This window comes from Homo sapiens, chromosome 15, assembly GCF_000001405.40.
Source record: "Homo sapiens chromosome 15, GRCh38.p14 Primary Assembly".
In the NCBI taxonomy this organism is placed as follows: Eukaryota; Metazoa; Chordata; class Mammalia; order Primates; family Hominidae; genus Homo; species Homo sapiens.
This window is the reverse complement of record NC_000015.10, coordinates 25,496,893-25,524,271: the sequence shown is the minus strand read 5'-3', so window position 1 is coordinate 25,524,271 and position 27,379 is coordinate 25,496,893. Positions and strand designations below refer to the sequence as shown.

Sequence of the window (27,379 nt, the reverse complement as noted above, 5' to 3'; positions counted from 1 at the left end):
TTTGGTGTTGTCAGTATTTTTAATCCAGTCTAACATGTACTTAATTATATCTTATTGTGGTTTCATCTGCAATTCCTAATGACCAATTATTTTGAGCATCTTTTCATGTGTTTTAAAATTTTTTGACTTTGTATTTTTGTTCCGGAATTCTATCCAGGATCCCACACTGTATTTATTTGCTATTTCATCTGTTCTATTATAGTCTGTAACCGTTCCTCAGTTCTTTCTGGTTTACCTTAATCACTTGGTTGAGTTGGTGCCTGCTATTTTTTTCCACTGTAAAGTTACTATCTTTCGTTTTATAATTGTTAAGTGTATTGAGGGAGATACTTTGAGACTATACAGATCCTCAAAGTTTCTTCTCAACTTATGCGACTAAATTTAGCATATATTAGTGGATCTTGTATACATTTAATTCTATTGACTAATTTTAGCATTTATTGGTGGTTCTTGCATACATTTAATTTTATGGTGTTTGCCTAACAGTGATTCTCTATTTCCCTTCTTCTGTCTACATTAATTATTTGGAAATTCTACTGTGAGGAAGAGCTGCCTCTTCTCTCCGATTTATTTATTTGTCCATATATAATGGCATGGACTCATGAATATTTATCTTATTCTATGGCTTAGGTCACAAAAAAGAATGTTAGTAATTTTTATGGATAAATATTTTATTTATTTTTTCACTATTATTATTTTCAATAGTTTTTTGGGTACAGGTGGTTTTTGGTTACATGGATGAGTTCTTTAGTGGTGAATTCTGAAATTTTAGTTCACCTGTCACCCGAGCAGTGTACACTGTACCCAATGCTGTTTTTTATGCTTCACCCTCTTTCCTACCTCCTCCCACCTTGGATTTCCCACAGTCCATTATATTGCTCTGTATGTTTTTGCATCCTCATAGCTTAGCTCCCACTTATAAGTAAGTACATACTGTATTTGGTTTTCCATTCCTGAGTTTCTTCATTTAGAACAATGGCCTCTAGCTCCATCCAAGTTGCTGCAAAAGACATTATTTTGTTCCTTTTTATGGCTGAGTTGTATTCCATGGTGTATATATACCACATTTTCTTTATCCACTCATTGATCAGTGAGCACTTAAATTGGTCCCATATCCTTGCAATTGTGAATTGTTCTGCTTTTTTGCCTTTTTAATTATGGCCATTCTTGAAGGAGTAAGGTGGTATTCATTGTGGTTTTAATTTGCATTTCCCTAATAATTAGTGTTGTTGTGTATTATTTCATATGTTTGTTGGCTGTTTGTATATCTTCTTTTGAGAAACGTCTATTCACGTCCTTTGCCCACTTTTTGATGGGATTTTTTTTTTTGCTGATTTGTTCGAGTTCCTCGTAGATTCTGGACACTAGTTCTTTGTCAGATGCATAATCTGAATATTTTCTCAGAGTTGATCATTCTTGGTTAATTTTCCCAGGTAGCCAGTCAGTCCTTTCAATATGTAGATTCAGGTCTTTTTCTAATTTGGGAAACATTTCTTGGATTGCAATTTTAAATATTAGTTCTGCTATGTTGACATGGTTTTCTTCTTCAGGGACTTCAATAATAGAAATATTATTCCTTCTTAGCCTATCTTCCATTTCCCCTACTTTTTCTCCCACTTCTTCCTTCCTTCCTTCCTTCCCTCCTTCCTTCCTTCCTTCTTTCCTCTTGGCACTTTCCCGGCACTTCCATGCCAGGCTGGAGTGCAGTGGCATGATCTCAGCTCATTGCAACCTCCACCTCCTGGGTTCAAGTGATTCTCCCACCTCAGCCTCCTGAGTAGCTGGGATTACAGGCTCCTGCCACCATGCTCCGCTAATTTTTGTATTTTTGTAGAGATGGGGTTTCACCATGTTGGCCAGGCTGGTCTTGAACTCCTGACCTCAAATGATCCACCCACCTCAGCCTCCCAAAGTGCTGGGATTACAGGTGTGAGCCACTGTGGCTGGCTCTCTTTATGCCAATTTCATTCTGCTGGGTGTCTTCCTGCCTTTCTCTGATGCTCTTTACTAAAATCTGCATTTGACGCTATTCTCCTTTGGGCATTCTGTAATTTAATTTTTATTTCTGAGATAATTTTGTCTTTTTCTTCCATTTCCTTCTGAATTCAATCAACTTTTAAAAACTTTCTCCTTGTTTATTGTCCATTTCTGTTTCTAGTTTTTGAGTTTCTATTCCAATGTGTTTTATCATATCGTAAAATATTTGAGTACACACAATTCTGTTTGAAATGTAGATTTCCAGTTTTCTTCTTCTTTATGATTATTTTTTGAGGACAAATTTGTGTAAAAGTTCATTTCGTGACTTTCTGCAAATCAAGTTCTCTATGGATTTAATTTTTTTCTTGTTCATTTCAATGATATTGAGGTGCTTTAAATGATTCCTGGTTTAATGGTACATTCTTCTGTCTAGCAAAGTTCAGGTAATTTATAATAGGGCTTTTGTTTTTGTTTCTTTGCTTCTTTGTTTCAGCGATGGTGGAGGGTTTGTGGTGCTTCTGTCTGGAAGAACCTAACTCTTCCCCTTTACTTCTTTTCCTCATCATTGCCCGATTGCTGGAAGATGCTTTTTCCTTCTCTTTTTCCTTTACTCTCCCTCCAGAAGTTGTGCTTTTGGAAGGCTGTCTCTTAAATCATGCATGCTCCACTAAACGGAGTCTATCCCTTTAAATCAAGAGCCTGGCCTATTAAATGGTGGATACATTGAAACTTCTTACCTGCAGTCGGCTCTGAGCTGTCCAGTTTCTTTTTTATGTATTTTTGATTTAGGGTGGTTTTAATTCCCATGATATCTCTCCACCTCTGGAGCACCCCTTGCCTGCAACCCTCCTTTGTCTCCCTAGCTTACCTTTGTCCACCTGACCGAATTCCACATGTTTCTTTTGCTGTCAGTTAGAATACCTGATACTAAAATGTAGAGACTGTGGCTGTTCACTTCTCCTCCCGCAGCTCACGCAGTTTTAGGCAGAAAGTTCAGTAGAGGGCTTTTAAAAAGTCTCGTTTGAACTAACTACTAATGGAGGTGGCCTCTAAAATGTCTTGGTTCCAAAACAACAGGCATTCCTTCCATATTTCTACTAGTTCTATCATAAGAAAATTATAACCACCTGGAAATACTGTCCCTTTAGAGTTTAGAGAAACATGCGGTGTCATGCTTCTGTTAACTCTAAAGGGACAATGTTTTCTAAAGGGAAAAGTAAACTAAATTGGGTACTGGAGTGTTCTATCTCAATAGAAAGTGAAGAAGATTATTTCACCTTCTCTTTTGCCTACACCTTAAGTTGGAAGAATCACTAAGAATATCAGAGACCATTTATTTGGACAGAAATTTTAAAAATCTTCACTAGACTTTTCTAAGAACTGAGATCTTGGTAGATTCCTGTCCAGGGTCCTAAGTCTCGGCTTATGCAGAGTTGAAAAGACTGAATTGGGAGAGAAATATTTGTTATGAGGGAAAGTTTCTAGTAATATCCTCCAGTCTTTCCTTTGTGGTCCCCTAGCCATAATGAAACATTGAAATGTGACCGTATGAAAGGTAAGTTTTCACTTCAAACTCATTTCCCACCAAACCTTCTACTTTGAATTCTCATGAGCAAGTCCCACCTCTTTATTCATTCCATTTTTTAAAAATACTTAAATCTATACTTCTAAAATAAGATTTAGGACAAAAATAAACTAGGAAGCAACTCAGGAATATAGAGTTTTAAAAGCTATTACTGGCCCAAGTAGATGGAATTGAATCTTTCACAATCTGAAAAGCTGTTAGAATCACAGATAATTTCATCAACTTTATCCTGAGAAACGAAGCTGGCAGCTTCCTACCATCCTCTATAGCTATTTTCTGGAACTTCTTGATTTCTTGAAGAACAAGGAGATAAAGAAAGGAAAAGTGGTTAAAGACACTGGCATTTCAGACGTAGGCCAGAAATCATTGAAATTTGATGGAAAGTGTAGGTGGAAAGATATATGACATGACCAGCTGACTGGAAGAGCTGTCTGTGATTGTAAAAATTTTTTAAAAGATGGAAACTAAATTTTATTCAGGAGTCACCATATACCAGGCACTGTGTAAGCCTTTACCTGTGAGGCCTTTACTCTTTCCTCCCCTGAAGAAACAACCTCACAGAAATATCTTGACATATGTAATGGCTGGTAGACAATTTCCCATGTGTCTATTGAATTTTGGCAATGTTTTCAAGCAGAGGGACCAACTTTCTTTGTTGGGAACGATCCATCCTTTCAAGGGAAGTTTAGCCTTGTAAGGCAGAGATAAGGCAATTGGGTTTATTGTCCAATATAATAAAAATATCTCCAGGCGAAGGTCAGGCAAGCTAACTGCCTGATATGAATGTTTTGAGTTCCCTAAGCTACTCTACTATAACTCAAACACTGAAGGTAGAGTCACTGCCTTGCCCTCCTGTGCTTCCCGGGGGAAAGTGGGGCTTAGAGAACTGAGTGACACCTGCTGCTGTGGATCCTGCTGTGTTCTGGCCCAGGAATCATGGGTCTTCTTCCTAGCATTCGTGAAACTGCAGCAGACTAATTTGTTAGTTTGCAACTATGGTAAATTGTTAGACCTCTTAACAATTCTTCACACTAATATCATTCCCATTTTATTGATAAGAAAACAGAGGCCAAAAAAGCTAAACCATGGTGATGTAAGAAATCACACCTAAGATTTTTGCCTCCAAAGCCACCAAATGCTGCCTCCTCTTAGTGGTTTTTATTTTCATCTTTACATTTTTCATTGCTGTCTAATTTTGGCAATAAGCATGTCACTTTTTAATTAATTTCAGATTTTGAGATAATTATAAACTCACATGAAACTTGTTCAGAAATAATACAGAGAGATCCTGTGTACCATTTCCCCAATTTCCCCCAATGGTAGTAGCATTTTGCAAAGCTACACTACAACCACTTCATACCCATTAGGATGCCAATTATCAAAACAAACAAAGACAGATGTTGGTGAGGATGTGGAGATATTGGGACATTTCGGCACTGCTAGTGAGAATAAAAAATAGTGCTGCTGCTACGAAGAAAAGCATGACAGTTCCTCAAAACTACAGTGCAGTATCACGACCAGAATACTGGCATCAATACAGCGAAGATACAGAACATTTCTATCACCACAAGGTTCTATCATGGTGACCTTTACCTGCAACCAACACTTTCCTCTCACCTATACCTCTCCTTAACTCCTGGCAAACATTCATGTCATCTCAATTTCTGTAATTTTTCAAGAATATTATACATATATAACATTATATGATATGTATCCTTTTGGGATTGGCCTTTCTTGGTCCACATACTTTTCTGGAGATTCAGCTAAGCTTTTCAGCATAGCAATAGTTTATTCTTTCTTACTGCAGAAGTAGCATTACATGGCAGGGGTGTACCAGTTTGTTGAACCATTCACCTGTTGAAGGACATCTGAGCTGTTTTCAGTTTGTTTGACTACTACAAATAAAGCTGCTGTAAACATTGGGGCACAGGTTTTTATATAGAACATGTTTTCATTTCACCTGGTTAAATGCTCAGGAGTGTAACAGCTGAGTGTCATGGTAGCTACAGGTTTGGTTTTTGAAGAAACTGCCCAAATGTTTTCTTTAGAGGCTGTGCTATTTCACATCACCACCAGCAAAACGTAAGCGATCTGGTCGCTGCATCCCGGCATCCTCACCAGCATGCGGCACTTTCCTTCTTTCTAACAGCCCTTCTGTTAAGTGTGTGGCAATATTTCACTGTGGTTTTAGTTTGCATTTTCCTAATGGCTAATGATGTTGAACACCTTTCATAGGCTATTTGCCATTTGAATATACTCCCTGATGAAATGTTTGTCTCTTTCCCATTTTCATATTCGATTCTTGTTGTTTTCTGTTGAGTTCAGAGTTCTTTCTATATTTTAGATAGGAGTACTTTGTCAGATGTGTGGTTTGAAAATGTTTTTTTCAAGTCTGTAGCTTGTATTTCCATTTTCTTCACAAAGTGTTTCGTAGAAAAGAAAACATTTTCAAACTTAATAAAGCCCAGTTTACAAACTTTTTAAAAAATAGATCTTGCTTTTGGTGTCTAGTCTAAGAACTCTTGCCTAGCCTTAGATCACAAACATTTTCCCCTATTTTAAAAAATGTTGTATAGATTTATGTCTATGCTCCATTTTGAATTTGTTTTTAGATAATGTACAAGACTTAGGCTAAGGTTCATTTTTGCCTATGAATGTTAAATTTAGCCTTTATAATTGTTTTATAATTGTCTTGTCCAGAGTCAATTCAAGGCAGTCTGAAAAATTAAAAACAATGCTATAGGCAAAAAGTCAAGAATTTGGAGCAAATAGACTGAGATCATATAAAAATGCACAGAGGGGGCCGGGCGTGGTGGCTCACGCCTGTAATCCCAGCACTTTGGGAGGCCGAGGCGGGTGGATCACCTGAGGTCGGGAGTTTGAGACCAGGCTAACCAACATGGAGAAACTCCATCTCTACTAAAAATACAAAATTAGCCGGGTGTGGTGGCACATGCCTGTAATCCCAGCTACTCAGGAGGCTGAGGCAGGAGAATCGCTTGAACCCGGGAGGCGGAAGTTGTGGTGAGCAGATATCGTGCCATTGCACTCCAGCCTGGGCAACAAAAGCGAAACTCCATCTCAGAAACAAACAAACAAACAAAAATGCATAGACGGTAGACCTGTAGAATTACTAGAGATAGTTCTGAGTTTCCCACAAACTCAGTGCAAAAACAGAAATTTGATCTGTTATATGAATCACTCCTTGTCTCCAACATAATGACAAAATTGTTAATAAGAAGTAGTACAAACATCCTTGGTCTTGAGGATTAAGAAAATGAGAAAAGTCCTCATGAAAAGGACTCTGTACAACATCTTCATCAACGTGCTGTAACTAGGGTAACCCTATGATCTAAAAATCAGCCAAAACTGACTATCTTTGAGGGTGAACAAGGCACTATCAATAAAAATGCTGAGACAAAGGCATAAACTCAAACTATCCGCAGGAAGCTGGGGCTGGATTCACTTTTTAACAGTAACGCCAACATAGGGCTGTTACACATCCTGAACCTCAAAGTAGGCCTCCTTCAAAACCTAAATGCAGCTGGGCATGAGCGTTCAGTGGCAGGGGAATGCTGTATGCACTGTATGCCATTCTCATGCTGGAAATCGATTTCAGAATAGAAAATTAGAGAATATTTTTCTTTTGTCCATGATATTCCTACCTCTGACTTAAAGTTCAGCCACCACCTTATAAAACACATACTTGGGACAAAGTTATTGTCTGTGCTGAATGACCCTTTGTCCATTAGCAGGTATCGTTGGTGAAGCCCATTAATTACAATCCCTGAGAGTCAACTCATCCATTTGGGGTATGACATGAATCCTTACAAGTCAAAGTGATGTGTTCACAATTTCTTATCCAATAACTCGCTATGTCTTACAATGTATAAGGTCTTAATACATTAAATGTGAAGGGTGGACTCAAACAATGTTGGGGAATTTCAAAGAAAAAATACCAAGAGTGACACATTTGAGCTAGTTTCTGAACGCCAGGTCCTCATTCAGAAGGTTGGCAGGCAGCAACATCACCTAACCATCCACTCTATTTTAATTATTTCAAGAGATTGCACAGAGTTCTTGATATTGAAGAGTGAACCATGTTCAAGGAAGAAGAGATCACCCCATAAAACCCTTCCAGCTTGTGTTACAATCAGATGCCTCTAAGATGGACAAAAAAGGCACACAGAGATATTCCCTACTCAGGCTCTGGTCAAATCTCTCTCCACTTAATGGAGCATGGCTTTCAACTGCACCTGGAGGTGAGGAAGGGTAGGGGGCAGAGGGGAAATGGATAAATGCGGTTGAAGGGAGAAAGGAATTACACTAATGGGGCTTCTAGAGTGTTAGGCCCTAGGCCATGTAAAAGAGAAGTTATTCTGACACTTTTTAAAACAGAAAGGAAGACTTCATTTAAGTCTATTGTCAATGGGAGAGAGCTTGAACTCATCGACTGCATACAACAGGGACAGGTGGGGATAATCAGCAGAGGGAAGGAACAAATGGAAAATTCACACCAGGAACTTGATTAGGCATCAAGGGTACAGGGACTCTTGTTAAACAGACAACAGGGTTTCTTGTCAGCACTGGGCTAGGCAAACCAAAGACAGGACCAAGGATAAGGTAAAATAAAAAAAAAAAAAAACGGGGTTGGGGGGACGGCACTAAGGAGCCTCACTAAAGTTTGGTCAAGGTTAAGGTCCTTGCTCACCTTAAGCAAGTACTCAAACAATTCAAAAGTACTACTGAGACGGTATTTTTCCCATTGACTGGCATGTCGTGGATGGCTCTCCACCCTCCTGCATGACCTCACAGGCAGAACGTGCAACCTGTAGCAAGCCAGTGACTCCCATCACCCTCCCCATTCACAGGCAAACTGCCCTATCCAGGCCATCCTAAGGCACAACTCCCTCGCCGTGCTGAGTGCCATCTCCCAGGCCCTGCTCCTGAAGTTTCCCCGTGTCACAGTGCACACATGTGCTGTCCCAGGCCAGCAGGGCATCACAGCTCCCTTATGTCACCCCAAGGCAGCTTCTGGCCAGGTCTCCCTGCTTCTTCAGCAGATTCACCCCACTGAGGGTTTTTTTGTTGTTGTTTTTTGAGTTTTTTGTTTTTTAGAAAGTCTTTCTCTGCGGAGAGAGGCAAAACTAAGAAATGTCTATTTAAGTCCTCTGCCCATATTTTAACCAGATGATTTGTTTTCTTGCTATTGAGTCTTAGGAGTTCCTTAGATATTTTGGAAATTAACTGCTTGTCAGGTATATGGTTTGCAAATATTTTCTCCTATTCTGTAGGTTGCCTTTACACTCTTGTTTCCCTTGCCATGCAGAAGATTTTCAGTTTGATGTACCTAATTACAAGGAGCCATGTCTTGATCCTGTGTCTCCTAGGTTGGGTCTCCCACATGTGTTTCACTCTTTGGCTTCCTTTCTCCATTGCTAACAAACAAGAGGCTAGGCCAGTTACTCGTCCTTCCAGGGTCCCAGGCATGGAGGGAGAGCAACGATACTGTGAGGATGACGGAGGGCTTGGAGTATGAGGAGGAAGGTAGGACAGGGCATACTGGTTTCTCCTCACAGATCTTTTCCTCATATAAAGTCCTTAAGGAAAACTACCATTTGTACTCAAAAGAAAGAGCCACTTGCCCCCTAAGCACTCTTTACTTTCCCATCCTATAAGATGTATCAGAGCTGACGCATCACATGAAGAAAAGAAATCTAACAAGCTTCCTGGGCATTCACCGCGCCAAAGTCACCATCATGACTGTCACCTGCTGGAGCAGGGCAGAGCCATCCACGAGAGGCAGAAAATTGTGTGCAGGCACCGAGCTCCAGTACCACGATGGCACATGGGGAAAGCCTCAGTGAGGGAGGGGAGCAGAACCCTTGGTCCCCTCGGATCCCCTCGGAGGGACCGGATACACAGGAAGCAAACGGGGTGCATGAGGAAGGCACACAGGGAGGATGCTGGCTAGAGTACCTAGTCGATCTGGATTCCACACATTCCAAGACAGGTTTCGTCCACTCTTACAGGAACAAAGATGCATTTTGACAACATGCTAGCATTAATAAGCTAATAAGCACCCAGTGGTGTCCCTTGATTGTTTAACAAGAAGCTCACTGAGTAGACTCCAAGCTCAGGCCCTGAGCTTTGACAAAGGTGGGAATTTGAAGGTGGACTGAGAGTCAACTTCCTCTATTGTCATCTACGGCTCTGAATAAAATATTTACTGCAGACATCTGATTCCAATTTAATTATCTTTTCCAACAAAGGCAGCTTGGGTTTGACAGGCAACAGGAAAGGCAAGTTAATCGTGGGCATCTGCTAATTAGCATATTTTTCCCACAATTACCTCGCGGCTGCCATTTGCAGCTGGGCCCGCCTCACAGGCGCCGCAACAAGGGCTCAGGAGGGGGCTCAGCTCCAGGGTGGGAGCAGCGATAATGACCCACTCCACTCTCATCTTGAGGTCAATGGCAATGCCTAGGTGCCCACATACCTCTGTCTGGCAACAGTCCTCCAAGAGAAGGCTGTTCCCACGTGCCAGTGTAGCCAGAGGGCGAGAACTTGTCTTCATCTCCACCCTATTTGCAGTACCCTAGGAACCAAAGAAAGCCAGTATCACCAGCCACCTCTATGCTACATATGACCTTTTGCTTAGAAATAGATCACCCCACAGGTCTTCAACCCTCTTCTTGCTAGATCTTTTGATGAAAACACACACACACACATACACACACCCCACCTTCCCACCTCAGGCCTTTGCTTACACTGTGCTCCTGAAGCCACTTTCTTCTCACATGCAAATGTCTACTTCTACCTACCCACCAATGCCAATTCAAGCATGTCCTCCATGATCCCTGGTTTTCATTCTGCAGGCTGGAAGTAATCTGTCAGTCTTACAAACTCCTTCCCCTTTGTGACTCTTCTTTCTTCTCCTACAATAGCTTTCTAATGTTCACATTTAATTGTCGGTTGTGGAGTGTGTTTCCAAAGATTTCCACGATATCTCCCATCCCACAGGCTCTTTTGCAATGGTCTTGACTCTCCCTCCACAAGAGGCAGTGTTGTTTGTTTCCTCTCCCCTTGAATCTGACCTGACCTTTTGATTGCTTTAACCAATCAAGGCAGCAGAAGTGATGTCCTTAAATTTCCAAGTTTGGAAATTAAGAAAGAATGCAACTTCTGCTTTTGTGATCTGGGAGAAGTCAGCTGCTATGGAAGAAAGCCAATAGCCTAAGACCACCATACTGTAAGAAAGCCCATGTTGGTCACATGGGGAGGCCACATGGAGACTGAAATGCCAGATCAGCCCCTGTGTTCCACCCACCCAGCAGAAGCACCAGACACATGAGTAAAATGATCTGTCTTGGACATTCCAGTGCAGGCAGACACTACATGGAGTGAAGATGGGTGGTTCTCACCAAGCACTGCCCAAATGGCAGAATCATGAGCAAATAAATGATTGTTGCTGTATTAGCTGCTGAGTTTCGGGGTGGCTTGCAATGCAGCCATGGATAGCCAAAGTATTTGCCTTGATTAGCTAAGAGTGTGGACGGGCTTGGGTGTCAGCTGGCCAGGGTCAACATCCTGGATCAGCCACTTACTAGCACTGAGATCTCGAGTAAGGTCCCAGATAAACACAATAGCAGTGTGTTGATTGATTTCTTCATTCAGCCAATTTGTTTCAGAGCCTTCTCTTTTCCTGGGCTGTGCCCAATAGTTTGCATTTGACACAGATGAATATTATCACTCAGAAGATCCCAGACTTCTCCCACAATCTTAGGGTTCCTGGGCAGAACCCAAGCCTCTTCATGAATCATGCTGCCTGTTAAGAGCAATGACAATAGTTTGCTGTGACTTAGGGAAATAAAAGTATTTTATTATCTTACAAGTGCAGTTTAAAGGCATAGTGTCCTTGTCAAAGCAAAAGCATATCTCATTTTCCTTAATAAGTAATCAGTTTAGACAGATTAAATTATGATATGTCCATACAATTGTTGAAAAATAATTAGGAATTATCTATATACAAATACCGAAAGATCTCCCAAAATACACTTTTAAATGAACAAAAAATGTGCTGTGTGGTGTGAATGAATGATTCAGTTTGTATAAAAATAAGGAGATATAAGTATATTTGTATTCATCATAATTGAAAGAAGAGTACACAGAAACAGAGGACTGACCTCCGGGAATCAGGAGTGGAGGGCACACTGAATTTTAGACTTTGTCATACTATTTGGCTTCTTTGTTCTACCATGACTGCATTTCACTTTCATAATTTTAAAAACTATTTTAAAAAATTCCCGTCACCTTCATAACATCGCCCCAGTAATACCTGTGTGGGACAAAAATGTCTCATGCTACTTATTCTGAAATTTGATGACCAAGGTGGAATTTGGTTGTTTGGAGTTTGATTCAGGAGGAAATGGTTGTTTTCTGTATTTGTTTCCTGTGGTTGCTCTACAAACTACCACACATTGGTGCCTTACAACACCAAAAGCTATTCTTCAAAGTTCTGGAGGCCAGAAGTATACAATCAACTTCCCTGGGCTAAAACCAAGGTGTCCACAGGCCATACTCCCTCCAGAGGGGAGAATCCATGCCTTGGCTCTTCAAGTCGCTGGCACCTTTGGCAATTGTGGCTCTTGGCTGCACCACTCCAATCTCTGTGTCTTAGTGTGTTTGGGCTGCTATAAGAAAATACCACAGACTGAGTAGCTAATAAACAACAGAAATTTATTTCTCACAGTCTGGAGGCTGAGAAGTCCTAGATCAAAAATGCCAGCAGATTCAGTCTCTGGTGAGGGCCTGTTTCCTAGTTCATAGATGGTCATCCTCACATGGTGGAAGGGGCAAGGGCGCTTTCTGGGGCCTGTTGAAAAAGGCACTAATCCCATTCATGAGGACCCTGCCCTCATAACCTAATCACTTCCCAAAAGCCCCACCTCCTAAAACCATCACATTAGGGTTAGGTTTCAATATATGAATTTGCAGGGTTGGGTGGGTGGGGAAGGGTGCACAAACATTCAGTCTATAGCACTCTGCCTCTACCTTTACATCACCTTCTCCTCTTCTGTATGTAGTTAAATGTCTGTTTCTTTCTTAAAGGGATACATGTGATTGCATTTAGGATCTACCAGATAATGCGGCATGATCTCCCCATCTCAAGATCCTTAACTTAATCACATCTATAAAGACCCTTTTTCCAAATCAAGTAGCATGTACAGGTTCCAGGGATTGGGATAGAAATGTCTTTGTCGGGGGAGGTGGTATTTTTCTACCTACCATATCTTCTACTTGGACCAAAATACAGGACCAAATGCATGCATGAAGTCATTCATGAATTCCACAAATATTTAAGGGCCTCTTCTATCCAGAAACTGCAAAAGCCCAACCCCTGAGTTTTGAAAAGAGCTTGATCATCTTAGCAGGGACTGAGCACAAGTGAACCTTTGCAAATTGGCCCCTTCCCACACACTTCCTAAAAGGAGGTAGCAACCATCTCTAGAGGGGCCAGGGAAGGGATATCTGACTGAGTAAGGCCACAGACAGGCTCCCCGACCCTTCCTGGCACAACAGAAGGTAGGGAAGCCAAGGAAGGCACAATAGCTCATCTGGGCTTTCCTGGGGCTGCTCACTCACTTCCAGTCTAGTGAGAGTTTATATACTCAGTCTGCTGTTAAAGGGTGCGGGTAATACCCTAGCCTCCCTTCACAGGGTTGCTGAACCTCACCTGCTCCATCCTGCAGTGCTGGCTGATGCCAAGGACTTTAGTCTAAAAGTCACAAGTATTCAGGGCTGACAGCCTCGTCCTGCTTTCATTTCATCTGAAAAATCATTACACAAGCTAGCACTTTTTTGTGAGAAAAAAATACATATATATATATATATATATATGTATATATAAATGCAAGCTCTGAAAGGGGTCTTTATTATCTGCCTAGCAACAGTTTGCTATAAATAAAATCACCCTGTTTTGCTATTTTATAATTAATAGCTCAACATTCTCACAACAACATTGGCCTTGCTGGCATCCTGGTTCCTTGTTTTCAATGAGCCTGAATGATTCTACAACCTTTCTCTGAATGTGAATTAGGTGCACAGGGTTTTAAACAAAAGAAATGTTGCCTCTTACCACACATTCACATGCAAAGTAATCAGAGCTGCAGCATTCATGCCCATGAATTTCTCATCTCTGGTCAAATATCTAATCTTCATTTTCATCAATTATGCCAAATTAATAGGATTTATTCTGGGATTGTGTTGTTTGCAGTCTGGTCCTATGACCCCAGGCCTCTCCTGACACCTGCCCAATGTGAAAAGCACATATTGGTGCTAAGATGTCTCATTACTAACGGTGTGCCCCCACTGGGCTTGACATGCATCAGAAGCACAATCTGAGAGGTAACTCTAAGAAGAATGCGTCATTTTTCCGATTCTATAGTTGAGCAAACTAAGGCACAGCTCTAGTTAGGAGTTTGTCAAGATCCCACAGTGAGTCAGCGGAAAATGAAGGAGAATGTGTTTTGGAAATGGCTCTGGCTGCTTTGAACTTCCAGCCACGTTTCCCTCCCTCCCTCATAGGATTCAAAAAGTGAACCTTATCAAGAACAAGACCTTCCACATTGGATAATAAGTTGCTTTCCCAGAGACTGGAAGGGGTGAGCAAGTATGATGGGCAGCTGATTGATGCACAGATGTTTGAGAGTCCCGAGTAATTATGGTGAAACCCTGGGATGGGTGGAGGGGTGCAGGCTGAAGGCTTCTGGTCACGAATTCCCATGATGTGAAGGCAGAGAGGATGCAAAGTCAGCAGAAACTTGCATGCTTAATAGTACACCACACCAGGGAGAGGTTTCTAGTTCTCTTCTTTCCTGGATATTACTTATTGATGTATGCAATTTAATAAAATGAGCTGGCTCCTTAAAACACAAACCTTGACGACTACACCCTGGCCCTTCTCTCTCCCCTCCCTATTGTCGTTTCCACTTCTAGGTCAGTGGCTCCTGAATAGCTTCCAGCCTTGCTAGATCATGCTGTGGCCCACATCAGTTTCAACCACATGGATCAGACTAAAAACATCTTTCTGTCCAAGCCAACCTTCCTCCCCAGGTCTTCCATTTCTCTCAGTGGCAGCACCATTGATACCCTACATGTTCATGAGAGTCACTCTCTCCTCCGTATATTTGCAGCATCCATATGTCCTGGAGTTTCTGGAAACAGCCCTGATTTCAAACCTTCTGTTTTAGTGTCTGACCATGTGTCAATGCTTGTATTTTGATTTTGGACTGAGAAGACAAGAAGACATAGTGACTGTACCTGTCAATAAGCTGGCATGGCGGTCTTGTCTTCCTTCCTTATGCCTCCCAATCTGATCTTATTTCTAGTTACCATTGCAGGAGTCGCTGTTCTCGCAGCTGGATTTTGTAATAACATTGTCCTCCTCCATTTTGCTCTTCATGACTCCAACAAATAGATCCTCCAAACATAATTGCTCTTTATTCTCTCAGCAAAAGTACCCCAAAACACATAAAGCAAAACAAACAAACAAAAAAAACCAAAAACCCACAGTACCTTTCCACTCTCAACCAGATGAATTCACCCTCATTATCTTGGGGCTTCCTTCCCTAAAGCCTTCCATCTGCTCCAGCCCCCACAGACCTTCATCTCCCTGAAACAATATGACACTCATTTTTAGTTTTAGTATTTAACTTCCAACATTGTAAGTTGCTTTATTATTTGTCATCTCTCAAAAGAGGTTTTAAGACCCTTAAAGAAGGACAGCTCTTTAGCTGTTTTTGGATACCTTTCATCATGGGAAGCTGGTTTCAGGCAAATAGTAAGTGTTCAACAATTATCTTTTAAAAGAGGTGTCATTGCATAGCTTAGTATGTGAAATGGGTATCTCTCATAAACCAGTTCCCTTTACATGTACAGCTATTTAAAGGGATAAACAATATCATTATTTTCCAGAACAAAAATGACCACATGATAAATAAGGCTTTATGAAAAAACATGGACAAGTGTGTGTTGCTTTAGAATAAAGGTGGGGGTGGGGGGAAGCTTTGGGGGCTGTTTGCATTTTATATGTAAACAGTGACATCTGCTGGTGAAGATGCACAGCATTTACATGGCATCTTGAAGTGGATTCAGGGTTCAGAAGCATGAATGTCATTGAGTCTTCATCATGGTCCTCTCAGAGACACCCAAAAGCCCCTTGTGAGACCCCAGGATCGGGTCATGTCCTCATACTTGATGATGATGGATGTGTTATTCTGGGAAATCATACAATTTATTTAAGACGAGCATCGATAATTAAAACAATTCTCCCTTTATCAGTTTCATTAGCCAGTTTTAACTTTTAATTGTCTTCCCTTATGATACATTTTCCCCTTGAAAGATTCCTGCCTGGTTTCCCTAGGGGAAGTGCTTAAAAGCATCAATCTCATCATAGTTCAGCAATCATGAGATAATTTTGTTCCCTAATTCTGTTTTTCTAGCATGTTTGTAAACAATGCCATCAGGAATAAAAGTGTTTGAAGCTGAAGCTGGGTCTTCCATCCAAATGTGGAAAGCGTGCCAGAGGACTGTCTTTCCCATTCCCGCCCCACCTGCACAGCCATAGACAAAGCTCAGCTCCGGGATAAGGTAAATGTCAAGAGCCACACAGCAGCATGCCTTCCCTTCAAGACAGAACAAAGGGTGGTTTTCTTGGCCAACCTACTGCACAGGAGGAAGCCAAGCAACACCATTGATTTAAGCCCCAAGGAAAACCTAAAATCTTTGGCCACTTCAGGTTGTAAATCTGGCATCAGATGTCAGAAACTTGTGTGAAAACAGAGACTACTAGGTTTTACTATGGCTTGAAAGGAATAACCCAAAGAAAAGCCTGACCCCAAAAAAGGACTGTCCCAGGCTCAGGGCCCCACAGCGACCACATGCCTGGGCAGGGAACTGCCGGGAAGGTAGCCCAGAATGGTCACATCTCACTCTGCAGCCCCCTCACCGGACAAGGACACCTCCTGTCAGGTTCCGAGTTCTAGTCATTCTTCCTTGTCTCTGAGAGCTGTCCATCTTTTCATACCATTTCTATTGCCACCCGTGGTTCAGCCTGAGGTGCCTCGGAGGACTCACTGGCCAGGCCCCATGGGCACTCTACACACATGATTGAGCAAGACCTCTAAATGAGACCACAAAGCAGGCCCATTTCCTTCAGGTGACTGACATGGGAACTCAGGCTGAGAGCAACTGACCAAGCAGACACAGCTAAAAAGATGGAGCCAGGATTCCAGCCAGGATCTGCCTGACTTTAAGTAATATGTGTTTCCCACTAAACCCATGTCATGGCTTTCCCCAGCTCTCGAAGCTTTGATGGCCCCACTGCCTACTGAATTCAGTCTTAGCTGCCAATCCAGGGGCCAAGCCCTCCGTGCCCTGCCCTGCCCTACTCTTCAGCCTTGCCCAGCTTTTCCCCTCCATGAACATCCTCAAGTCCCCCCCACACTCAAGACTCCCCAGGAGTGTCCCTTTGCTCATCTGCAATGTCCTTACTACCAGCCCATCTGCCCTTTCCAAGTCCTGCTCACTCATCAATACTTCTGTGACCCCCTGCCGTGAGAACACATTCTCTGCTAAACCCCTGCTCTTCCAGCGCACTTTCCTCAGAGTTATGTACAGAGAGGGTCTCCCCCTGCTAGACTGAGCCACCTCGGAGGAAGAGCCTGTGCCTGGATTTTCACATCTTTGTATGTCCTTCCATCCTTAGCAAAGGCACCTGGAATGTAATCAAAATCACCAAATATGTGTTGGATAGATGAATAGGTGGATGGATTATAAATAAATAAAGTATTTATCTAGGTTGTTACCTCTCAGGATGCAAGGAAATATATTTGATTTATAGACATACAGAAGAAGCGACTACATATAGTATAACAAAGCAATGTTGTGTTTGGAATAACAGCAACTGATTAATAAGTATCTATTATGTTACACTGATGTCGTATCTCTACCATTAGACTAACAAGTCTTTATGTTTCACGAGGGCAGGAATAATGTCTACAGCTGCAGCTGCCAGATCAAGCTGGAGTCCCTCCCTGATCTGATGCCATAAAGTAGGAGCTCTCAGTCACCATAGGAGGAAATCACTACCTCAGGCTGCTCACTAGAACCTCTGGGAAGAAACAGAGCTCCCCACCATAAGTCACGGCTTTGGGGTCAGAGTCTCTGGATCCAAGCCTGGTTCTGCTACTTGAGCCTCTCTTGAGTCTCAATTTCCTCCCTGAATATAGGGATGATAATCCCTGTCCCATGAGTTGCACTGGGGAATAAATGTGATCATCTATACAGTGCACTCAACAGCGGGCATGACCTGTGGGAAGGGTCCCATTAGTGTCCACATTGCCAGTTATGCAGTGAATATCATTCATGTCTCAGCTTATGTATCAACCAACAGCAATGCAGAGTTATCCCTCCTGTAGTTAGTTGAAAGTAGCTGGTGCTGACTATACTTCTAAGTTCTTACCAGTTGTCACTAGACCTTGTCAAAATGGGAAAAGACAGACTTCTGATAAACTCACTGTCAACTTATAGGCAATTTTAATAGAAAAAAACATAATTCACTGCAGTTTTTAAAAAAATCTACAATGAGGTATGAGCTAAAAGAGGATTCCATAGACTTGAGGTCAAAGTTCATAGTGAATCTCTTAAAACCTTACCTCCCTTTGCCTTTTTAGTATTATTAGTATGTTACATTATAATTCATCCCCTGATAGTGTTTTCAGGGCATTGGAGTTTCTGAACACTTCAGATTGTCTCCTATGTCCTGCAAAGATACCCCATAATGGTGTAGCTCTGTGAGAGTGAAGTGGTGGCTCTGCACCCTCAAGGTGCCTGGAGAGTCAGGTCCACTCAGTCATGGTGTGCTGCCAGTTGCCAGACCTCTCTCTCTTCCTGCATGCCATGCAACTTTACAGACCAGGAAGGCACTCAAGGGCAGCACAGCCCTGGGGACACATCCCGGTGCCTTATGCTCTAATGTTCAAGACCGCCTCAGCATCTGCTTACTGTGCAGGAGCTAAGGGAGGCGATCACCTCCACGGACCTATCCTCAACAACAGCTCCTCTACACTAGAAGATACTAGAAACAAAAGAGCTGTGCTCCTCTGGGCTGAGTTAGGAACTGGAACTGTCCATCCCAGTGGAAGGAACTGGGTAAGCATTTGCACTAGCAATAAGCTCTCTGGCTTGTGGACCATGAGCCACGGGGATCCTTCAACACCAGTGGAGGTGAAGTGACTTTGAGTGCATGGACTCCATTCTCAGCAGGTTCACTTTTTATGCTGTCAGATCCGTAAACAAACGTTCGCCCCTTCCTGAAACAAAGCAGGAGAGGACATTGCTGATCTATCAGGGCATCCTGATAACATTCTGCCTCCACAACCAGCCAGTGGAGAATGATTAGAGAAACACGCTGGCTCTAATCAGCTGGGGATGTGAACACTGCTCATTGCTTGATTATGTACTTTAAATCATGAATACTCAGAACAATCATAAGATATATATACACTTAACATATACATATACCGCCTGTACACTCAACCAGAGGACATACATTGGTGGCTGCAGAACTCCGTTATGATAGCATGGAGTTTCATTTAGATCATTTCTTTTTTCACATGACGCCTCCAATTTACATTTTAGTGTTGTTGGTGATGGCTATTGACTGAATGTTTGCATTCTCATGAAATTCATATGTTCAAATCCTAATCCTCCATGTGATGGTTTTAGAAGATGGGCCTTTGGGGGGGTGATTAAGTCATCAGGGTGGAGATCTCATGAATGGGATTAATGCCCTTGTGACAGAGACCAAGAGAGCTCTCTGGCTCTCTTTCCACCTCGTGAGGATACAATCAGAAGGCAACCATCTGCAGCCGGAAGAGGGCCCTCACCGGAACCCAAGCCAGCTGGCCCCCGATCGTGGCCTTCCAGCCTCCAGAACTGTGGGAAGTGGATGTCTGTTGTTTGTGAGCCCCCCAGTCTACAGTGTTCTGTTACAGCAGCCCGAGCTGACTAAGACAGTGATATTACCAATGATGGCAAAACACCAAACAGTACATGCTGATCACTCAGAGTTCCTTCGTTGCCAGATATAGAAACGACTTTTCAAATTCCAGCTATAATCCTCCCAAACCTCAACTGAGGAAATGAATCATTATCACCAACTGCAAACTCGCTGTTACCCTCCAGCAATGACAAAGAGAGCCTTTCTCCTGTAGACCTCCCCCTAGGTGGGCCTGGGGCACACTTCCTTTCCTCCCAGCCGCCTGGGGACCTCGAAACTGCTTCTTCACTGACAGAAATAGCAACAGACAAGCCTGGGAAGCTCCCCTAACCTCTTGCAAGGAGAAATTATTTTTCATTTCCTTGAAGGTGTGGGCCCAGGCAGGCTGGCCGTACTCCCTCCCCACACAGCAATCCCAGCACACCTAGGAGACAGGGTGGGGCAGAGAAAGATGGGGGCTGCTAGGGCAGGAGGGCTGGCCCAGCCCCAGCAGGATAACTGCCCTGGAGAGTACACACACCGTGGAGCCCAGTCCCACTCCCAGGATCCATCCTGACCATGTCCAGTCAAGACTGACCAAGACTTCATCCTCAGAGAGGAAGTCATAAAGGAATTCCTTGACATGCTCCCCTTCTCTAATCTGGTATTAACAAATGGTATGACAGAAAAATGAAAAAAGGAGGGAAGGGAGAAGTAAATAAACTCCAGGTTTTGTGGACATCAAATTTTAAGAAAGCAAATGAGAACTGAGTTCAGTAATGATCCCAGTCATTCTTTAGCAAGGCAGGAGGAAGGAGTGAAATAGCCTCCATCTTCAAACATCCCCAATTCAAGGGACAAAATTCCATTGTACACTCCCTAACCAGTGAATTCAGCTATAGGCACTGCAGTCATATTGATAGGTGAAGCCGGCTGGGCTTCTGAGTCAGTCGGGACTTGGAGAACTTTTCTGTCTAGCTAAAGGATTGTAAATGCACCAATCAGCAGTCTGTGTCTAGCTAAAGGTTTATAAACGCACCAATCAGCATGCTGTAAAAACGGACCAATCAGCACTCTGTAAAACAGACCAATCAGCTTTCTGTAAAATGGACCAATCAGCTCTCTGTAACATGGAACAATCAGCAGGATGTGGGTGGGGCCAAATAAGGGAATAAAAGTTGGCAACCCGAGCCAGCAGCAGCAAGTGGGTTGGGTTAGTTTCCACAGTGTGGAAGCTTTGATTTTTCGCTATTTGCAATAGATTTTGCTGTTGCTCGCTTTGTGGGTCCACAATACGTTAAGAGCTGTAACATTCCCTTGGAAGGTCTGCAGCTGGCTTTGCTCTTGAAGCCGGTGAGACCACGAGTCCACCAGAATGAACGACTCCGTAGGCGCCACCTTTAAGAGCGTTAACACTCACTGTGAAGGTTTGTGGCATCGCTCCTGAAGTCAGTGAGACGACGAACCCAGCAGAAGGAAGAAACTTTGGACACATCTGAGCATGTGGTGGTACAAACTCTTGACACACCATGTTTAAGAACTGTAACACTCACCATGAGGGTAGGGGGCTTCGTTCTTAAAAGTCAGCGACATCAAGAACCCACCGGAAGGAACCAATGCTTGGACACAGTAATTCATGCACAGGGTTTAAGGCTTTTGCTGCCAGAAGTGCTTGGCTCTGTGTGTGTGTGTGTGTGTGTGTGTGTGTGTGTGTGTGTGTGTATTGGTCTAGGACACACACAAAGTGTGTGCTGCCTAGTTCAGCTTCATGTGTTTCCTACCTCAGAGAAGAGATGGTTTTTCTAAGACCGGTTCTTGGAATTTTGTAATGCGGAATCGGCAGGTGCGCAGAGACATCCGAGACTGAGGGCTGGAGGAGGAGGGGAGGACTAAGAAAAAAGCCCAATGGGAGTGGAGAGGGAACAGTCCCTCCACAAAGAAAGAGTGGGAGGGGTGAGGAGAGAGGATGCTGACAATCAGAGCCCAAGAAAAGCAGAAAAATAAGAACCCAGGAGCGGGAGAGAAGGGAGTCAGATAAAATGGGTTTCCCATAACCTGTAGATTGGTTCTTATGTGCTTTTAGACTGGCATTTCTTAAATTCGTATTTGCTGTTATGTCTGCTGTTCTTGACTATGACTCCTTAGAGCTGCGTGGGTCTTCAGCTCAGAAGATTTTCTCAGTCCTAGTCCTGCTCTTGCCTTACAGCTGACGAAATGCCAGCTCAGAGAAATAAAATCAGTGGCCTCAGTATGCACCACAATTTAGAGCTGAACTTTGATTCCTCTGCCTATATTAGTCCAATGTAGACTCTACTACCCATGCTAAAAATATGCTTGTTCCTAAACATGCTCCCAGCCACATCCCTCCCTACCCCGACATGCCTCCTTATGCTGTAAGTTTTACTGGAAAGATAAAAAACCATATACACACTCTTCAGTAGAGAGCATTTACATGTCTGAAGAGAAAGTGCCCCACAACAATAGAAAACGTTCCCAAAATGAACTCAGTTCTGGGGCTGGAAGCTGGGATGCATGCAGCTACAGCAAAGGCCTTACCTTGAGGAGACACTCAAGGTAAGTGTCTCCTTACCTTGAGGAGACACTTGTGAAGTTAGAAGGGACAGACATTGTTTAAAGGGCACACGTGTCTGAGCAGGACTCACATTCCATCCAACAGATGGCAGTAGCCACATATTTTTTTAAATAAGCACATAGAAGTCCAACGTTCAGAAGAAAAAAGAACCAGTGAAATGAGATGTAAAATCTTTCTGTCCTCATCAAAAACCAAGTTTTCATTCCGTTTGAATTAACATGAAATTCAAACAACAACAAAACCCATCTACCTAAGCACTGGTAGATAAAATCAACTAACAGCCCTCTAATGACATGTTACTGATTACAAATTATAACTATTTTTGTGTCTTGTTATTAGAAAGATGAAAGAGGGTTAATAATTGCTGTAATATGTTGGGTTTAGCTAACTTAAGTGAGTGGTTGAATATGGTTTCCATTTTCCACATACCAGCATTCTTGAAGTAAAAAATAACGGAACCTCTTGGTTGCTAACAATCTTTTATCCACCACCTAATTCTTAGAATTCTTTACACTTCTGAACATGACTTCCATTCTAGTTTTCAAATTGAGAAAGCACCTATATTAAAAAGCACTGGTTCTCTCCCCATTTGGGATTACACTTAAATGTATAAGGTAGAGAAAAGTCTAATAGAGAACATAATTGATGTCAGTTGTAATTGTATTCTGATGTCAAATACATAGTAAAATATGAGCTTATTTTTGTGGCACTGCATTAAAAATACATTTCTTGAGCTCCTTTTTTGGTTCATTCTATTTTTATCCCCCGTTTTTTCCTTGGCACTTCCTATCCATGATTTTCTGCATATCTAATATCGCGCAGAGGAAAAAGCACTGCCTGGACCTGTCCACCAGCAAGCGGACATTGCTTTGCATAAACAGGCAGAGGGGCAGGCACCTCAAGGGACTCGCAGAAGTGCCTGGGTATTTTTAAATACTTGAGGAGAACACAAGGATGCCTGTCGGACATCTCAGGAACTGCTAGCTCCAGGTAAATTGGTTTTAACATTAGGTTGCTAAATTTCCTTCCATGATGTCATATCTTTGCAAAGCTTGGTTTTTGGTGACTGTTGTGATAGTTGTGGGGGAAAAAGTGATATGTCCTATCTAATTCCAAGGTTTTACATATTGCTAGTGCCCAACTGATGCACCTACATATCATTAGTAAATAATTGTGGTTATTTAATATTACAATAAAATATGATTTATTTTCTTCCAATTTGTACATATTATTTTTTACCCAGCTCCTAAGTTGTTAGGACATAAATACTTATTAAGGTAGTTGGACCCAACAAGGTCATAAATAGAACTGTTAGGTATTTCATGTGGCCTCAGGGCCCTGTGAATAAGATTACTAAGACATTAAGGGTGCTGTGAACTGAAAATGTTTAGGAACTGCTGAACTAAACTATTCACAGAGGTGAGCTGGTTTATTCCTCTCAAACATCTTAGTCATTTCAAGGCTGGGCATGATAGCTCACAACTGTAATCCCAGCACTTTGGGAAGCTGAGGTCAGAGGATTGCTTGAGGCCAGGAGTTCGAGACCAGCCTGAGAAACATAGTGAGGCCACATTCTCCACACAAAAAAAGTAAAAATTAGCTGGGTGTGGTGGTGCACACCCGTAGTCCTAGCTACTTGGGGAGCTGAGGCAGGAAGATTGCTTGAGCCAAAGATGTTGAGGCTGCAATGAGCCATGAGATTGCACCACTGTACTCTAGCCTGGGCCACAGAGTGAGACTCTGCCTCAAAAAAAATTAATTAATTAATTAAAAATCATTTCAAAGTATGAACCATGAATTTAAATAACTGATATAAAAATCTGGAAAGAATGAATCAGAAATAAAAGAAAAGAGCTTGGGTTTGAATCTTGCCTGCCCCACAAACTGGGTGAGATCAGGTGACCTATCTGAAACTTGGTTTTCCTCTCCTTTGTGTGGGTTAGAGGAGATAAGGTCTCAGCACCTAAGATCCTTCCTGGTACTTAAAAATGCACAATAAGTGGTATCAATTATGATTTCTAAATCAGACATGACCCATACAAACATTTCCTTCCTGGAAAGGAGGGGTCTTAATTTGGGGAGTCCAGTGCAAAATAAAAATATGAGGATTTTTGTTCAAAAATTAGTAAGAATTTCAAGATGGTCTCAACAGAGCTGATCAGCTGTGAAGCTACGTGAAGCTGCCCCTGCTCTTGCCAATTTTCTCAGGGTTTTCCAGCTCAAATGAATCTTTCTGCACCGAATCTTTATACTCTTATCACCTGTGCCAAATAATTAGTAGCTCACCATTATCCTGGTCCCCAGTCAACTGTAGCAATATGTAATATCATCATATTCACTACTAGCTGCATGGTGACATTCTATTTCCCAAGTGGACTGTGTTAGTCTGTTTGTGTTACTATAGAGGAATGCTTAATGGCTGGGTAATTTATAAAGAGAAGAGGTTTAACTGGCTCACAGTTCTGTAGGTTGTGCAGGAAGAGTGATGCCAGCATCTGATTCTGGTGAGGACCTCAGGAAGCTTCTATTTGTGGCAGAAGGGAAAAGGGAGCAGTCGCATCACATGGCAAGAGTGGGAGCAAGAGAGAGAGAAGGGGTAGGTCTCCCCAGACTCTTTTAAACAACCAGATCGTGCATGAACTAACTGAGCAAGAACTCACTTATCACCAGGAGGATGGTATTAAACCATTCATGAGGGATTTGCCGCCATGATCCAATCACTTCCCACCTGGCCCCACCTACTACACTGGGAATCACATTTCAACATGAGATTGGAAAAAACATCCAAATGATATCACAGATGATCGCATCTTTGTGGGCAAGGGGCTGTAAAGAGTGCTGACTCATTTTCCACCCCACAGCCTCTAGGCACCGCTGGCACATATTAGATGCTCAACAGATACCTGTTGACTAAATAATTGATGGGAGGGTGGTATGGCTATATAGTTGTTAGCCTCTTACTACCATAATCTCCAGGCTGTAAAGGCTGTGAGTGGTAGACTGAAAGCATGCCAGGTAATCTCTATAGAGGGCATACTAAAGAAACTAAGAGGACATCGCACAAGTGGGTGTGTTCATCCTGTGTGTGTGTGTGTATTTCGTTTTCGTTTACGGTTTTTCATATGAATAAGCTTTATTTTTGGAACAGTTTTAGGTTCACAGTAAAGTGAAGCAGAAAGTACAGACAGTTCCTATATACCCTCTGACCCCACACATGCACAGACTCCCCCACTACCAACATTCCCCACCAGGATGGTACATTTGTTACTACTGTTGAAATGGTATTGACACATCATCACTCAAAATCCACAGTTTACATTAAGATTCACTCTTGGTGTTGTATATGGGTTTTGATAGGTGTATAATGACAAGTTTCTACTGTTATAATATCAGATAGAATAGTTTCATTGCCCTAAAAATCCTCTGTGCTCTATTCATCTCTCTCTCCCCCAAATCCCTAGTATTAACTGATCTTTTTGCTATCTCCATAGTTTATCCTTTTCCAGAATGTCACATACTTGGAATCATATAATATAAAGGCTTTCAAATTGGCTTCTTTCACTTAGCAATATGCGTTTAAGTTTCCTGCATATCTTTTCATAGCTTGATAGCTCATTTATTTTTAGAGCTAAATAACGTTCCACTGTATGAATGTCCCACAGTTCATTTATCCATTCACCTATTGAAGGGCATCTTGGTTGCTTCCAAGTGTTGGCAATTATGAATGAAGCTGCAGGTTTTTGTGTGGACATAAGTTTGCAGCTCCTTTGGATAAACATCAAAGAGCACAACTGCTGGATATTATGGTAAGGGTATGTTTAGTTTTTAAAGGAATGCCCAAACTGTCTTCCAAAGTGGCTGTACTATTTTGCATTGTCACCAATAATGAATGAGAGTCCCTGTTGTTCCACATCCTCACTAGCATTTGATGTTGTCAGAGCTGTGGAATTTGGCCGTTCTAATAGGTATGTAGTGATATCTCATTGTTTTTTAATCTGCATTTCCCTGATGGCATCTTGTGGAGCATCTTTTCATATGCTTAACTGACATCTGTGTATCTTCTTCGGTCAAGTATCTGTTAAGGTCTTTGGCCCATTGTTTAATCGAGTAGTTTGTTTTCTTATTGTTGAGTTTTAAGTGTCCTTTGTATATTTTTGGTAACAGTTCTTTATCATATGTGTCTTTTGCAAATATTTTCTTCCAGTCTGTAGCTTATCTTCTTATTTTCTTGAAATTATCTTCTGCAGAACAGAAGTTTTTAATTTTAATGAAGTCCGGCTTATTAATTATTTCTGTCATGAACTGTGTCTCTGGTGTTGTACCTAAAAAGTCATCACCATACCCAAGGTCATCTAGGTTTTTCTCCTGTATTATGTTCTAAGCACTTTATAATTTGTGTTCCACAGGTAGTCTGTGACCCATTTTGAGTTAATTTTTGTTAAGGGTTTAAGGTCTGAATCTGGATGGATTTGTTTGCATGGGGATATCCAATGGTTCCAGTACCACATGTTGAAAAGACTATCTCTGCTCCATTGTATTGCCTTTGCTCCTCTGTCAAAAATCAGTTGTCTGAATTTATTTGGGCTTATTTCTGGTTCCATGTTCTGTTTCATTGATCTATTTGTCTATTCTTTTATCAATACCACACTGTCTTGCTTACTGTAGTTTTATAGTAAGTCTTGAAGTCAGGTAGACTGTCAGCCCTCTCACTTTGTTCTTCCCTCTCAATACCAATATGGCTAAATCTGGGTCTCTTGCCTCTCCATATAAACTTTAGAATCAGTTTGTTGATCTCCACAAAATAACTCCCTGAGATTTTGATTGGGATTTCAATGAATCTATGGATCAAGTTGGGAAGGACTGACATTTTGACAATATGGAGTCTTCCTGTCTATGAATATGGACTATCTCAATTTATTTAGTTCTTCTTTGATACCTTTCATCAGTTTTGAGTTTTGTAGCTTTCCTTATAGAGATCTTGTACATATTTTGTTAGATTTATATCTAAGTATTTCATTTCTGGCATGGTAATGTTAGTGGTAATGTGTTCTTAATTTCAGATTCCATCTGTTCATTGCTGGTACAGGAAAGCAATTAAGTTTTTCTGTGTTGTATCCTGCAACCTTGTTATAATTGCTTATTAGTTCCAAGAGTTCTTCAGTGGACTCTTTTGGATTATCTA

At 41.9% G+C, this 27,379-nt stretch overlaps 1 long non-coding RNA gene across 3 annotated transcripts in view; it reads left to right on the top strand.

The window, feature by feature from the left end:
• Window positions 1–27,379, top strand: part of LINC02250 (long intergenic non-protein coding RNA 2250) — a 122,536-nt gene that overhangs the window by 54,535 nt on the left and 40,622 nt on the right. For 2 of the 3 annotated variants that reach the window (NR_187215.1, NR_187214.1), the window contains exons 2-4: window positions 7,627–7,824; window positions 16,066–16,213; window positions 23,020–23,187. This is a non-coding gene — a long non-coding RNA (long intergenic non-protein coding RNA 2250). The remainder of the gene's footprint in view (window positions 1–7,626; window positions 7,825–16,065; window positions 16,214–23,019; window positions 23,188–27,379) is intronic. The other variant, NR_187216.1, reaches the window with a different exon arrangement.